Source organism: Homo sapiens, chromosome 22, assembly GCF_000001405.40.
Source record: "Homo sapiens chromosome 22, GRCh38.p14 Primary Assembly".
NCBI classification, from domain to species: domain Eukaryota; kingdom Metazoa; phylum Chordata; class Mammalia; order Primates; family Hominidae; genus Homo; species Homo sapiens.
In genome coordinates, this window is record NC_000022.11 from 37148313 (window position 1) to 37162409 (window position 14097).

At 51.2% G+C, this 14097-nt stretch overlaps 1 protein-coding gene across 3 annotated transcripts in view, besides 8 other annotated features; it reads right to left on the reverse strand.

The window, feature by feature from the left end:
• IL2RB (interleukin 2 receptor subunit beta) overlaps positions 1-14097 on the reverse strand; it is a 49281-nt gene that overhangs the window by 22475 nt on the left and 12709 nt on the right. Inside the window, exon 1 of one of the 3 annotated variants that reach the window (NM_000878.5) lies at positions 1513-1604. The exons of the other annotated variants lie outside the window; for them this stretch is intronic. The gene's annotated coding sequence lies outside the window, so the exon portion shown is untranslated. Of the gene's footprint in view, positions 1-1512; positions 1605-14097 lie in introns of those variants that run through there. 3 annotated transcript variants of the gene reach the window in all.
• Positions 1514-2469: a promoter, noted in NCBI's record as "-857/+97 promoter fragment". NCBI's record gives the evidence for it as "EXISTENCE:reporter gene assay evidence [ECO:0000049][PMID:8413220]".
• Positions 1644-1666: an enhancer, noted in NCBI's record as "-56/-34". NCBI's record gives the evidence for it as "EXISTENCE:reporter gene assay evidence [ECO:0000049][PMID:8413220]".
• Positions 1644-1666: a protein binding site, noted in NCBI's record as "-56/-34 ETS site". NCBI's record gives the evidence for it as "EXISTENCE:protein binding evidence [ECO:0000024][PMID:8413220]".
• Positions 1644-1666: a protein binding site, noted in NCBI's record as "-56/-34 ETS site". NCBI's record gives the evidence for it as "EXISTENCE:protein binding evidence [ECO:0000024][PMID:8413220]".
• Positions 1749-1780: an enhancer, noted in NCBI's record as "-170/-139". NCBI's record gives the evidence for it as "EXISTENCE:reporter gene assay evidence [ECO:0000049][PMID:8413220]".
• Positions 1754-1768: a protein binding site, noted in NCBI's record as "-158/-142 Egr site". NCBI's record gives its function as "positive regulation of promoter activity" and the evidence as "EXISTENCE:protein binding evidence [ECO:0000024][PMID:9199305]".
• Positions 1765-1780: a protein binding site, noted in NCBI's record as "-170/-155 Sp1 site". NCBI's record gives the evidence for it as "EXISTENCE:protein binding evidence [ECO:0000024][PMID:9199305]".
• Positions 1863-1974: an enhancer, noted in NCBI's record as "-363/-251". NCBI's record gives the evidence for it as "EXISTENCE:reporter gene assay evidence [ECO:0000049][PMID:8413220]".

Consider the following 14097-nt stretch of genomic DNA (forward strand, 5'->3'; position numbering starts at 1 on the left):
CTGTGCCTCAGGGAGGCCAAGGAACCCACTTAAGGTTGCACGGTGAGGAGAAGCCCAGCCTCGGGTGACAGCAAGTGGAGCCCAGGACCTCGAGTTTGAGCACCCCCTCCTGGGTCCTCAGGCACACCCACACGTGCCCTGTCGTTCATGACTCTGAAACTGGTCACACCCACGGATGCCTACGTCCCCACCACAGCCCTGCAAGGTGGGTCTTGCTGCCCCATTTGATCCATGCCAGAACTGAAGCCCGGAGCGGCTGACCCCAGCCATCTGATTTTCAGAGAGATGCTGCTGGGGACAGGGACTGGTGCCTGCTCTCTCTCTGCCTACACTGCCTGCCCTGAGCGCTCGGGGGTAGTTCAGCTTTTAGCCCTCCCTACAGCCCCATGAGGAGGCTCTAGTATGCCTCCTTTTTGCCAAATGAGGAGACTAAGAAACGGGTCAACCTCTCACCCAGGCGAGAAGGGCATAGAGCTGGGATTTGAACCTGGTCAGGTGCAGTTCGGGGCCCCTGCTGCCATCAGGGGTATATGGTGGCTGGGGCAGGGTGGTAAAGCAGGAGCTCGGGAGCCCATGGTTCATCCAACTTGACCTCTGAACTCAATGGGGCCTATGTCCCCTCGTCCTCTCTGGCCACCTCCACCTGCCACCCCCCTGCTCCCATACACAGTGCTTGTCTCTTGCTATTTAACTTCAGGGGCTTCTCCAGCTGGGTGCGGGACCCTGGCTGTGGGGGAAGGAAGGGGACCCTTGGGGATAGCTCAGCTCCTCACTCCACCTCCCTCCCCCGAGGTGCTACAAACACAGTTAAGAGTGGGAGGCTTCGGCCCCCAGGAGAGGAGAGAGCATGAGCTCCAGGCAGCCCCAAAGATAGGGTCCCATCCCCAATGTCCGGAGATGCTTCTGACCTGTCCAGTCATGCAGCCAAGGGAGGGACAAACCCAGACTCAAACCCAGGGCTCTGCCTCCAGCCTGGGGCTCCCAGAGGCCTCGCAGCAACTTCACTTCATAGATGGCTCTCCAAGGGGACCCTTCTGTCCCCACTTACTCCACAAGCCTCCTGATGAGCACGCAACACAGGGCTGCCTCCCCCGGTATATGGGCCCCACTCCACAGAGGTCAGGAGGGGGCTCCCGCCTGTCCCACCCCATATCCCGTACCCTCTCCGGGCACCCAGGCTATCCACCCATCCCTTCTCCACCTCTCCGGGTTGGGGGCCCAGCACACAGAGCCCAGGGAAGCCCCTCATCCCACAGCAGTCCCTAGCCTCCCCTGAATGGGTTGGGAAGGAGAGCTGACCTGGGACTGGGGACCGCTTTTTCCTCCAGCCAGGAGCCATGAGAGCTGGGCCCAACCCCTCCCTAGGGGAATTCTAAGACAAAGTTGGGGGATGGGAGTTCAGGCAGAAACTGCTGGGGGAACTGAGTCAGAGCTGAAAGTCTTCTCTGTGACTTTCACTCCCAGCCCTCTGGCTGGTCCACAGGGGCCGGGAGGGAGGCAGGGGGACATCACCTGGCTGAGACATGGGGCGGTGGCAGCGCGCGCTCTCCAGTCCTCCCCGGTGCTGGGACCGTGGCCATCTCTCCAGGGCCCTGCTGAGCTCTGGCTGCTGGGGCCGCAAAGACTAAAAGCCCAGAGCCAGCCCACTTCCTGTGCAGAGGATAGAGGGGCAAGGCCTGGGGTGGAGAGGCGGGGAGACGAGGCTTATGAGAAAGCCTGAAACTCCTCAAGCACCCAGGGCCAGATAAAGATCTGCCTCCTACGCTGGGGGCGGCACACACACACACACACACACACACACACACACACACACACACAGACACACATTGTCAAATAGGGGCCTAGCTGCACACAGGAGCCAAGGGAACGCAGGCCCTCCCTCTCTCCCCTCCTACATCACCCCCACGCCAACTCACACAGGCTACCCAACACCTCTGACGCCTCCATCCGGTCACACACATACCCACTAATACGTAGGCTTCACACAAGCAGGTCCCTCTAGGTGACCCCAGCGTCTCACCCTCCTCCCAGCCTGCAACACACCATCTTTCCGAGACTCCCATTTCACCCAGCCTTCCAGGAAGCCCCTTACTCCGTTTAGCATTCAGAGATGACTGTTTTTTTTAGTTTTTAATTTTGTGGGCATGTGGTAGGTGTCTATATTCATGAGGCACATGAGCTATTTTGATACAGGCATACAATGTATAATAATCACATCAGGGTAAATGGGGTATCCATCACCTCAAGTATTTATCCTTTCTTTGTGTTAAAATCCAAGTATACTCTTTTAGTTATTTTTAAATGTACAATAAATTATTGTTGACTAAAGTCACCCTGTTATGCTATCAAATACTAGATCTTATTCATTCGATCTAATTCTGTTTTCGTACCCAACAACAATCCCCACCCCTCCAACCCCCACTGCCCTTCCCATCTCCATCACTGCCCTTCCCATTTCCATGAATTCAATTGTTTTAATTTTTAGCTCCCACAAATAAGTGAGAACATGTGAGCTTTGTCTTTTTGTGCCTGGCCTGTTTCACTTAACATAATGACCTCCAGTTTCAAACATGTGGTTGCAAAGACAGGATCTCATTCTTTTTCATGGCTGAATAGTACTCCATTGCATATATGTACCACATTTTCTTTATTCATTCATCTGTTGATGGGCACTTAGGTTGCTTCCAAATCCTGGGTATTGTGAACAGTGCTGCAACAAATGTGGGAATGCAGATGTCTCTTCCATATACTGATTTCCTTTCTTCTGGGTATATACTCAGCAGTGGGATTGCTGGATCATATAGTAGTTCTATTTTTAGTGTTTTGAGGACTCTTCAAACTGTTCTTTATAGTGGTTGTACTAATTTACATTCCCACCAACAGTGTACGAGAGTTCCCTTTTCTCCCCACCCTCACCAGCATTCATTATTGCCTGCCTTTTGGATAAAAGTCATTTTAACTGAGGTGAGATAATATCTCATTGTAGTTTTGACATGCATTTCTCTGATGATCAATGATGTTGAGCACCTTTTCATAAACTTATATGTTTTCTTTTGAGAACTGTCTATTCAGATCATTTGCCCAATTTTTGATGGGATTTCTATAATTTTTTTCCATAAAGATGTTTGAGCTCCTTATCTAGTCCAGTTATTAATCCCTTGTCAGATAGTTTGCAAATATTTTCTCCCATTCTGTGGGTTGTCTCTTCACTTTGCTGATTGCATCCTTTGCTGTGTAGAAGCCTTTTAACTTGATGTGATCTCATCTATCATTTCTGCTTTGGTTGCATGTGCTGGTGGGGTATTGCTCAAGAAATCTTTGCCTAGTCCCATGTCCTAAAGAGTTTCCCCAATGTTCCTTTTAGTAGTTTCATAGTTTGAGGTCTCAGATTTAAGTCTTTAATCCATTTGGATTTGATTTTTGTATATGAAGAGAGATGAGGGTCTAGTTTCATTCTTCTGCATATGGATATCCAGTTTTCCCAGCAACATTTATTGAAAAGACTGGCCTTTCCCCAAAGGTATGTTTTTGGCAATTTTGTTGAAAATAAGTTCACTGTAGGTGTGTGGATTTGTTTCTGGGTTCCCTATTCTGACCAATGGTTCATTGGTCAATGCATCTGTTTTTACGCTAGCGCCACGCTGTTTTGGTTACTGTAGCTCTGTGGTATAATTTGAAGTCAGATAATGTGATTTGTCCAGTTTCACTCTTTTTGCTTAGGATGGCTTTGGCTACTCTGCATCTTTTGTGGTTCCATATAAATTTGACGATTATTTTTTCTACTTCTGTGAAGAATGTCATTAGTATTTTGATAGGGATTACATTGAGTCTGTATATTTCTTTGGGTGGTATGGACATTTTAACAATATTGATTCTTCCAATCCATAAACATAGAATATCTTTTTATTTTTTGTGTCCTCTTCAGTTTCTTGCACCAACGTTTTATAGTTTTCATTATAGAGATCTTTCACTTTTTTGGTTACGTTTATTCCTAGGTATTTTATTTTATTTGTAGCTATTCCAAATGGAGTTATTTTCTTGATTTCTTTTTCAGATTGTTTGCTGTTGGTACATAGAAATACTACTAACTTTTGTATGTTGATTTTGTATTCTGCAGCTTAACTGAATTTGTTTATCAGTTCTCATAGTTTTGTGGTGGCGTTTTTAGGCTTTTTGAAATATAAGATAATATCGTCTACAAACAAGGATAATTTGACTTCTTCCTTTCCAATTTGGATGCCCTTTACTTCTTTCTCTTGTCTGTTTGTTCTAGCTAGCACTTCCCAGAGATGACTATCAGGTCTTTGTGAACAATTTGATGGTCACTTACTGAACATTCTAGAACCTTCCTCTTCCTCTCAAGTCATGGTTCCTAACCCTTCTCCCCCTTTTTTGGCGGGGGAGAAGGGTGGCGTGGGAGCTCAGCTCAGGGCTCTTTTTTTTAAATGATGGAAACTTATGGATTGGTCTTTAGAAAAATGCACATCTATTTACGTGCTACATCACAGCCCCATAGACCCTGTGAAGTTCCATCCTCAGAGCCCAGAAGCAGCAGCTCTGCTTCTTCCCTTTCCTGATTCCCTGTTTCAGAGGGGTTTTATTGCAAGCTGTGGCCTCTTTTTTTTTTTTTTTTTTTTTTTGAGACATAGTCTAGCTCTGTCACCCAGGCTGGAGTGCAGTGGCACAATCTCGGCTCACTGCAACCTCTGCCCACAAAGTTCAAGCGATTCTCCTGCCTCGGCTTCCCGAGTAGATGGGATTACAGGCACGTGCTACCATGCCCGGCTAATTTTTGTATTTTCAGTAGAGACGGGGTTTCCCCATGTTGGCCAGGCTGATCTTGAACTCCTGACCTCAGGTGATCCACCTCCCTCGGCCTCCCAAAGTGCTGGGATTACAGGTGTGAGCCACTGCGCCCAGCCTGCCACCTCTTCTGAGAAGAAGAGAGAGAAGAGCAGAGACGGCAGCTCTGCAAATGTGAGAAAAGTGGAATTCAAGACTCCAAAAAGAGAATCAGGCCCAACTCCCATGTGCAAAGCCCGCTGCTGGAAAAGAAGAAGCGTGGAGCACTGCTGCCCAGGAGGGGCAGGACTGGAGATTGAGGCTGTGACTTAGGCCTCCCTGTGCTTCAGTGTGCAGACCTACCAAATGAAGGGAGAACTGGACAAGAAGGTGTGTATAAAGCATTTAATGTGACCACGCACTGCAGGCTTGCTGTAAGGGCCAGTTCCTTCCACACTGCCCTTCCCTCTCCTCTAGAGTAAGGCTGTCTGGCGGCAGGAGAGGATACTAAACACAACAGCCACAACCATGAGAATAACAGCCAACATTTATTAAGCCTCAAATATTCCCAGAAGCTTTGCAAGAAATTAGGAACGCCGGTTGTCTCAGGGAGGAGAGCCAGGTGAGGAAGGGTTAGGAAGGACGCTTTTCTCTATAGACCCTTTTGTATGGCATGAACATATTTCCTGCCCCCAAATAAATGAATTCAGTTAAAACTTTAAAAGCACACACATACAAAGAAAAGAAAAATGCATCCGCAGCCAAAGCCAGAAGTCACAGACCCAGCTTGCAAGGAGCAGCTGCGTACAGCTATTTCATCCATGAGACAGCATCAGTCTGCCTGGCACATACTGCCCAAGACTCTTCTTCCTCCTCATCCTGCTTTCCTTCTTTTATTTATTCAACAAACATTTACTGAGCACCCCAGATGCCCCAAAGACCAGGTCAGACACAGGAAGCCTGAGGCGCGCAGCCCAGGCCAGCGGGGTAGGACCAAGGGAGGGAGGTAGGCCACTCTCCACCCTCGTGCCCCTGAGATGTGCAGCAGCCAGGAAAGTGGGGAGCAGAATGGGGGATGGTGCAGCCCCCACATACAGAGTCTCCCACCCCAGGAGACAGGGGATGGAGCCGGTTTGTTCTTTTGTCAAGGGTCCTAGCCCAGAACACCTCAGATGGAGAGGCAGGGAGGGGGCTACGCAGAGAATGATTCTCCTTCACATCCTCTATGTAACACCTCATGGCCTGTGGGAGCACGTAGGAGGGAAACCTGGTGGAATGGGTCCCCAGGCCATGGCGTGCACCCTCCTCCCGGCATCAGCTCGGGTCTGCTTCCCAGCCTCCCTTGCAGTGAGCTGGGGCTCCAGAACCAAGTCTGGCTAATGGGATGTGGGAGGAAGTGATTTATTCTACTTCTAGGCCTAAAAAAAATCTCACCTATGATCTCCTGTGTCTCTTAATCCCTCTATCTCTCTTTTTTTTTCTTTTTTTTTTTTTGTTTTTTAGACGGAATCTTGCTCTGTAGCCAGGCTGGAGTGCAGTGGCGCGATCTCGGCTCATTGCAAGCTCCGCCTCCCCGGTTCAAACAATTCTCCTGCCTCAGCTTCCCGAGTAGCTGGGATTACAGGCACACACCACCACACCCAGCTAATTTTTGTATTTTCAGTAGAGATGGGGTTTCACCATGTTGGCCAGGACGGTCTCGATCTCCTGACCTCGTGATCTGCCTGCCTTGGCCTCCCTAAGTGCTGGGATTACAGACGTTAGCCACCACGGCCGGCCATCCCTCTATCTCTTTCTCTCTCTCCCCTCCCCTGCCAGAATCCAGTGAAGTTTTGGGTAGAGGGGCTGGAGTCCCTTGAAGGACAGGCCCTCACCCCTCCTCAGACAATTCACACTGGGCTATAACTTGAATGAAAAATAAACCTCTATTGTTGGGCCTCTGAGACCTGGGGACTGCTGTTTCTGTTTTCTCTGACTCATACAGTCTGTCCCCCAGGTGCTACAGCTGAACATAAAACCAGGTGAGGAGGGGTGAGACAGTACGCCAGCAGAAGCCCAGAGGCATGGGTGGCCAGCAGGGGTGTGCAGAGAGGTGCACCTGCTTTCTTCAGCCCCTGCCCTGCTCAGAGCCGTGTCATCTCCCACCTCAGCAGGCCCATGGTGGCCTCCGCCCTGGTCTCCCTGTTTCTATTAATACTCCTGACTCTCTGGTCTGTTCTCCACTCAGCGGCCAGAGCAACCTTTCCCAAACTCAAATCACGTCATTTCACCCCCCAGCCACTCCCCATCATACACACTCAAACCTTCCCAGTGCATTCACAGTAAAATCCAAACTCTCAGTCTTGACCCACATGTCCTACAGGGACTGCCCCATCTTCATCTCTGACCCTGCCTCCTGTGCTTTCTCACTCTGTCAGGGCTTTGTGCATGCTGAGCCTGCTCTTCCCTTGCCATTTTACAGGCCAGGAAACCAGGCCTCATGAGTCATCCTACCAGAATGTGGCAGAGCCAGGATTAGAACCTAGGTCTGTCCCAGAGGACATCCGATTCTCTCTGAGGCAACCTGAGATGTAATCCAGAAGCTTCTCTGATGGCAGAGCCCTGACAGAGCCCACTCGGGCCTACCCAGACCTGGGTCTCAGGAGTGCTGGGGTTTGGACCCAGCCTCCTCCACGAGCTCCACGCCTTGCTCCTATAACTACTTCTCTTACGTCTTCCACATCCCCACCTGACCCTCTGCGCTGCATCTTCATGGGTCCCACTGGGAACAAACCGCCTCATACCCTCTGTTTCCATGCACCCAGTCCCACAGCCCTCCCACCACTGGACCCAGACCCCTCTTTCACAGGGGCCATGGGACAAGGGCATATTGGGGTCTTCCAGCCCTGATGTCCTTGGGCTGTCTTTTTTGGGGCCAAGCCAGACTGCATCCTCCTCAGTCCTGGTATCTGCCAAACGCCCTACCCGTCCTCCCTCTGCTCACTGGAGTGCTTGGCCCTTGCGCTCAGCCTCCCTCTCCACTCCGCCTCCCAGGAGATGTCAGGGTCCACACTGTAGCCTCCAGCCTCCTGTTCCCTCTGAACTGCTCCATACCAGTCCCACACCCAGGCCTGCACTTGCACCCTGCCATCATTCTGACCTGTGTTAACCAAGACCCCTTGAACTTCCACCTCAGCTCACCCGCGTGCTGCCATCACCGCCTCCACTGTACAACAGTGTCCCAGTTAGGATGAAGTTCAGCTGCGTGTGTCCAAAGAGAACAGAAGAAGAAAACAGTGACCTAAAATAAGAGAGGGCTTTATTTCTCTCTTACATAAAAGAAGTCCAAAGGGAGGCCACCCAGGCTAGGTGGGGTGGCTTTATGATGTCAGGATCCTGAGCTAAATCTGGCTTGCTACTAGGGTCTCTTCAATATCCTTCTCCCATCTCCTCATAGACCAAGAGAGCTATTCAAGCTCCACCCATCACCTCTGCGTTCCTGCAGATGGAAGGGAAAGGAAGGAGAGAGGGAGGGCTTGCCTCTGCCTGTTAAGGACCCTTCCCCAAAGCTGCCGTAGCCACTTCTAATGTACATCCCATTGGCTACGCCTGAGTCACATAGCCAACCAAGCTGCAGAGGAGGCTGGGAGATGTAGCCAGCTATAAGTAGAGGGCACACGGGCAGGGGAGAGCAGGTTTGGGGGTGCCATTCACTGTCTCTGCCACCGCCTGTCCTCTGCCATTGTGAAGACCTCCAGTATCTCCAGGGCCACCTCCCTTCCTGCCCTCCCTGGCTCAGCCAGCTGACACTGTCACCCACCCTCAAGTCCTTGTGTTCCGCCCACCCCTGCTCGGTGCTGTGACCTGTCTTCTGGAAAGTCAGCAGGTAGCCGAGTCCCCAGCTGGAAAAAAAGTCCTGCCCCCACAGTGCCAGGCCTCACCAGTGACCTGGTTTTGAGTCCTGGTCCCTGGTCAGGAGGACTATGGTATACATAATTTGGTGTCTGACCCTCCGCCCAGTCCCCATCAGACTGTGGGGTACCCCTCATGACAAATGAGGATCACAAAGCTGCAGGGGCCCACAGAGGGGCCAGAGCAGAACAAGGAGAAAGAGCAGGCTAGCGGCCGACTTCCTGAGGGCTGTCCTCCGAGCATGCCCCTCTGCTGACACCTGCTCTTCACTGGAGGCGCCCCACCCACCAGTCCCCAAGACAGACTGTGGCCATTCTCCCTGACTCCTTCCCTCCCTCACCCCCTCCTTCCAAGCCATCACCCTTACTTCTGCTTTGCCACAGCAGCCACCTCCACGCCAGCCCCCCAGGCTCCAGACCTGAAGCCCCACGTTCTTCCCTGTTCATCCGGGAGCTGCCTGCTTCATAGCCACACCAGCACCAGCGCCCTGAGCAGCTCCTATCTTGTGCAAACCATGCCATTCCTTACCAGGATCGCGCCAAGGTGACCAGCTGTCCCACTGTGCCTGGGACTGAGGGGGGTTTCCAGAACATAAGATTTACAGTGATATTCCTAGGACAAAGTTGGTCACCATATTCCCACCCTACTTACTCAGACTAATCAGCTCCCCGATTTAAAACCAGTCCTTCCCTGATCTCCAATTCTGGCCAAGGCAGATTCTGGGCACAAGCCAGTTACCATATCTCATGTCAGAGCCTTGCTTATGAGTCTACACCAGGAGCTCTTGGACAACAGGAACAGTGTGGGATTCATCCACACCACTCCAGAACCCAGAAAATTACCTGACATACGGACAGTGTCAATATGAGGGGAAGGAAGGAAAAAAGGAAAAGAGAAAGAATCAAAAGTGCTAAGTCCCTAATACCCTGAAGAGTCCTGAGAATACACATTAAAAACACCAGGATAGCATATTTGAAGTTTCAAAAGCTTTGCCATCAAAGGCAGGTTGAAAAGGCGAGTCACCCTGCTGGCGTGGGCTTCAAGCATCTCCCTGGAAGGCAATCTGACATCTACCAACATCTCTGACACATGACCCAGCAATTCCACACCTAAAACTCATCAACAGAGTGACCCATGTTGAACACGTGTGTACAAAGTAACTCCTGCAGTCACGGGACCCGAGGCCAACAAAATGCGCATCCATAGGGGACAGGTGATGAGCAAATTAGGGAACTTCCATCCAGTGGAATGCCACGTAGCTATGCCAAGATAGGAAGGGGAGGGCTGGGCGCGGTGGCTTATGTCTGTAATCCCAGCACTTTGGCAGGCTGAGGCGGGCGGATCACGAGGTCAGGAGATCGAGACCAGCCTGGCCAACATGGCAAAACCACGTCTCTACCAAAAATAAAAATTAAAAAAAAATTAGCCGGGCGTGGTGGTGGGCACCCCGTAGTCCCAGCTATTCAGGAGGCTGAGGCAGAAGAATCACTTGAACCCGGGAGGCAGAGGTTGCAGTGAGCCAAGATTGCGCAACCGCACTCGAGCCTGGGTGACTGAGCAAGACTCCGTCTAAAAAAAATAGGAAGGGGAGGCTCTCTGGGTCCTGATATGGAGCAATCTCCAGGATGTACGGAGAAGAGACAAAAAACGAAGTTCAGAATACACGTGGGTGCACCACTGCTCAGGTAAACATAAAGGCGGTAAGCCCTGTGTTCGAAGGCATGAGTGTGGCATACGTCTGTGAAGGTGCGTGGGAGCATGTCTGTGAACTAGCATCTACCTGCACTGAGCCACTCAGGCAGGAATCCCTGGACACTGCTAGCAGCCAAGTCCTCCAGCCAGTTTCCTACCTGAAACTGTCCCTGAGTCACCAGGCCCGTGGAACCACCCATCCTCCGCCGTCTTCACTATGCTGAGAGCACCCAGGGAGGAAAGCATTTTGTCCACAGCCACAACGCTGGTTGGCAAAAAGGCGGACTCCTAACCCAGGTCTCCTCACAGCCAGGCCAGTGTCCTGTGATGGGGACAGTCAAGAAAGCCAGTACCCACAACGGTTTCCGCTTTTCCTGTGGGAAACAGGTAGAGTGAAAACATTCTCTTTGCTTTTTCTTATTCTTGGGCAGGTTTCACCAAAATCTGCGATCTTTCTCAGAAGACAATCTAGGTGTTGCTGTGAGGAAAAAGGACGTGTGATGTTTGAAAAGTGTCTGTGAGAAGTTCCTCTCTATCAAGAAGTAACACTTGCTTGCTTTTTTTTTTCTTAGTGTTTTTATTAAAGAATCGGAAAAAATTAAAATGTCCCTCTAAGAAGGTTATGCCTGGCTGTCACCGTTGCCTGCAAAGTCTGCTTGGGGAAAAGCAAAAAATGGGGTCAGAAACATGCTCTCACTCAAGAGTGACGATGCCCTCCGTCAGGCCTGGCACCAGAAGCGGCCACCCTGGGCTCGCTGAGAACAGGGGACCCTGAACTCCTCCGAGCGGGAAAGATGCCCATTTCAGGAAGGGGGAAGGAGCAAGGCAGGCTAGATCTGGGTATCACCTGGCCCTACAACATATATAGAGAGAAACTGTAAAACCTCTGCCTCTTGGTCTCTGCCTCTTGGAGTCCTAGCATTTGTGTTCCATTACCACTTCAAGAATCTAAACAAGGTGAGGCCGAGGGGACAGAGGCAGGTGCATTTTGGCAGATCCTGAAACACGCCACAGTGAGGATGCAGAGGAAGCCCTCCCCAGAACGAAGGGGCTGAACTGAGCCTGCAGAAGGGAAGTTCTGGACTAGGGCAAAGCCCCCAAAAGTGCCTGACCAGTGACAAGGATTCATGGAGAAGGACCCCCCACTTTGGTTGGCACTCAGGGGTGCTGGCGTGGGGGCCACCCGTTGTTATTCCCATGGTCCCTGCATCTGCAGCCCAAAGCCTTCTCCACCTGTGTGCTCACATAGTGCCCAGCCTTGTTCCCAGCCAAGTTTAAAACATGATTCTCTTGATATCATTTCTGCGTATACAGGTTTGTGGGCACATTGCGAGGGCCACTGCATTGTAAAGACCTCCTTGAGTAAATAGCATTTTTGGACAATCAACAGTTAGCTAAAATATATCCTACTGTTGACCTCCCAACATCAAAGACTCTTCACATCCATGGCCAGAGGTAACCAGGCACACCCTTACTGATTAAGAACACAACACAACCCAGTGTCTGACTGGCCAGGACACTGATTGGCTGATGCAGTGACGGCAGCTCCCTGTGGGGAGCAGCGGGATGGCAGCTTATCCGTGGCTAAGGGAGCATCACTGGAGTGTATGAGATTCAGCGGGGCCTCGCTCTTTCTCCAGGCAGGCCCAGTGGGTACAGGAGAAGGTGGGGGCTAACAGAACCAGTACCACGCAGCATGATCACTAAGGAAGCCTAGTCTCTCCTTCTGGGAGGGTTTGGGCAGGGAACTGAGATGCCCATGGGGGCCAGGTAGGAAGTGAATTTACATCAGGTGGACAGGTGGGGACCATGGCACATTGGAGACTCCAGCTACAGGAGAAATGGCAGATGGAGATGTCTGCACCATACTACCAGGAAACTCAATTTGCAAAAGAAGCTAAAATTGGTATTTTTAAAAACGTGAAAGGCCAAGGCGGGTGGATTGCTTGAGCTCAGGAATTCGAGACCAGCCTGGCCAACATGCCGAAACCCTGTCTATGCCAAAAAAAAAAAAAAAAAAATTTAGCCGGGCATGGTGGTGCATGCCTGTAATTCCCAGCTATTCGGGAGGCTAAGGTGGGAGGATCGCTTGAGCCTGGGAAGCAGAGGTTGCAGTGAGATCGTGGTGACAGAGCGAGACTGGGTGACAGAGCGAGACTCAGTCTCAAAAAAACAAACAAAAGACTGGATGCGGTGGCTCACACCTGTAATCCCAGCATTTTGGGAGGCCAAGGCAGGTGGATCACCTGAGGTCACCAGTTTGAGACCAGCCTGACCAACGTGGTGAAACCCCATCTCTACTAAAAATACAAAATTAGCTGGGCATGGTGGCACATGCCTTTAGTCCCAGCTACTTGGGAGGCTGAGGCAGGAGAACTGCTTGAACCCCGGGAGGTGGAGGTTGCAGTGAGCCAAGATCGTGCCACTGCACTCCAGCCTGGGCCACAGGCAAGACTCCATCTCAAAGAAACCAAAACAAAAAAACGTGAAAACCTCCCATTTAAAATACTCGCCATTAATTCTAACTTAAACATGCAACAAAACTCCACCACCACAGCCGGCCCATATGTGAGGAAGCGCCACTTTCAGAGGGAGGAGTGCAGCTGAGGGTGGCATTGACAAAGGGACCCTCTGCCAGCCCTGTTTCTTCTCAGGTGCTGTCCTGGATATTTAGTTTACATCTGGGTGCGCTGCATCTTTGCAAATCTTTCTTGTGTTGGAGTTATCTCCTTTTTTAGGAGTCTCCTACCCTAACCAGTAAGCTGAAACTGCTTTTCCAGCCTCCCTTGCAGCTGGGACATAGGCATGTGACCAGGCTGCCCAATCAGAAGCCTCCATTCCAGACCTCAGGCTGGGAAAGTGAGCATGTGACCAGGTTCCTTCAATCAGAAGCCTCAGCTCCAGACCTCAGGCGGGGAGAGCATGTGACCAGGTTCCCCCAATCAGAAGCCTCAGTTCCAGACCACAGGCTGGGAAAGTGAGCATGTGACCAGGCTCCCCCAATCAGAAGCCAGCTCCAGACTGCTGACTGGGAGGGCATGTGACCAGGTTCCCCCAGTCAGAAGCCTGGGTTCCAGACCACAGGCTGGGAATATGATCATGTGACCAGGCTCACCCAATCAGAAGCCTCAGCTCCAGACCTCAGTCCTGAAGTGTGTGCGTGTGATTAGGCTTCCCCAATCAGAAGCCTCAACTCCAAGACCTGGAGGCTGGCGAGGGTGGTGTCGGAACATCGTGTCCAGGATGCAGCAATTCTCCAAGCCTCTCCAAGCTTCTCCAAGCTTCTCCAAGCCTGATTTGCGGGTCCTGCCAGAGATTCCTGAGCTTCAGAATATCCTGAATGATTCCTTTTCTAATGACAGTAGCCAGTAGAGTTTTTGCAACTGAAGTTCCTGGCTGACACAGGTGCCTTAGCCAAGTACAGGGGCATGCATATATTTAGTACAGATCTCAGATTTGAAATAGTCTTTAATTACAGCAATGACTGACCACGTTGGGTGATGGCGATCGAGTGAGAGGGCAGCGAGGGGAAGAGTGCCCGCCCCCACGGTTTTCTGTCTGCGGGGCCTTGGAGTAGGACCAGTGTTGTACCACAGGCCCTGGTGCCAGTGTGAGCATTGGATGCTCAAGGACAGTACGGGAGGTCTTTGATAAAAACCTCCTCTGCCTAATGTACTGGTGGGGTAGGTGACCCAAACATGGGGGAGAGCTGACCCTGAGCTCACAGCCCAC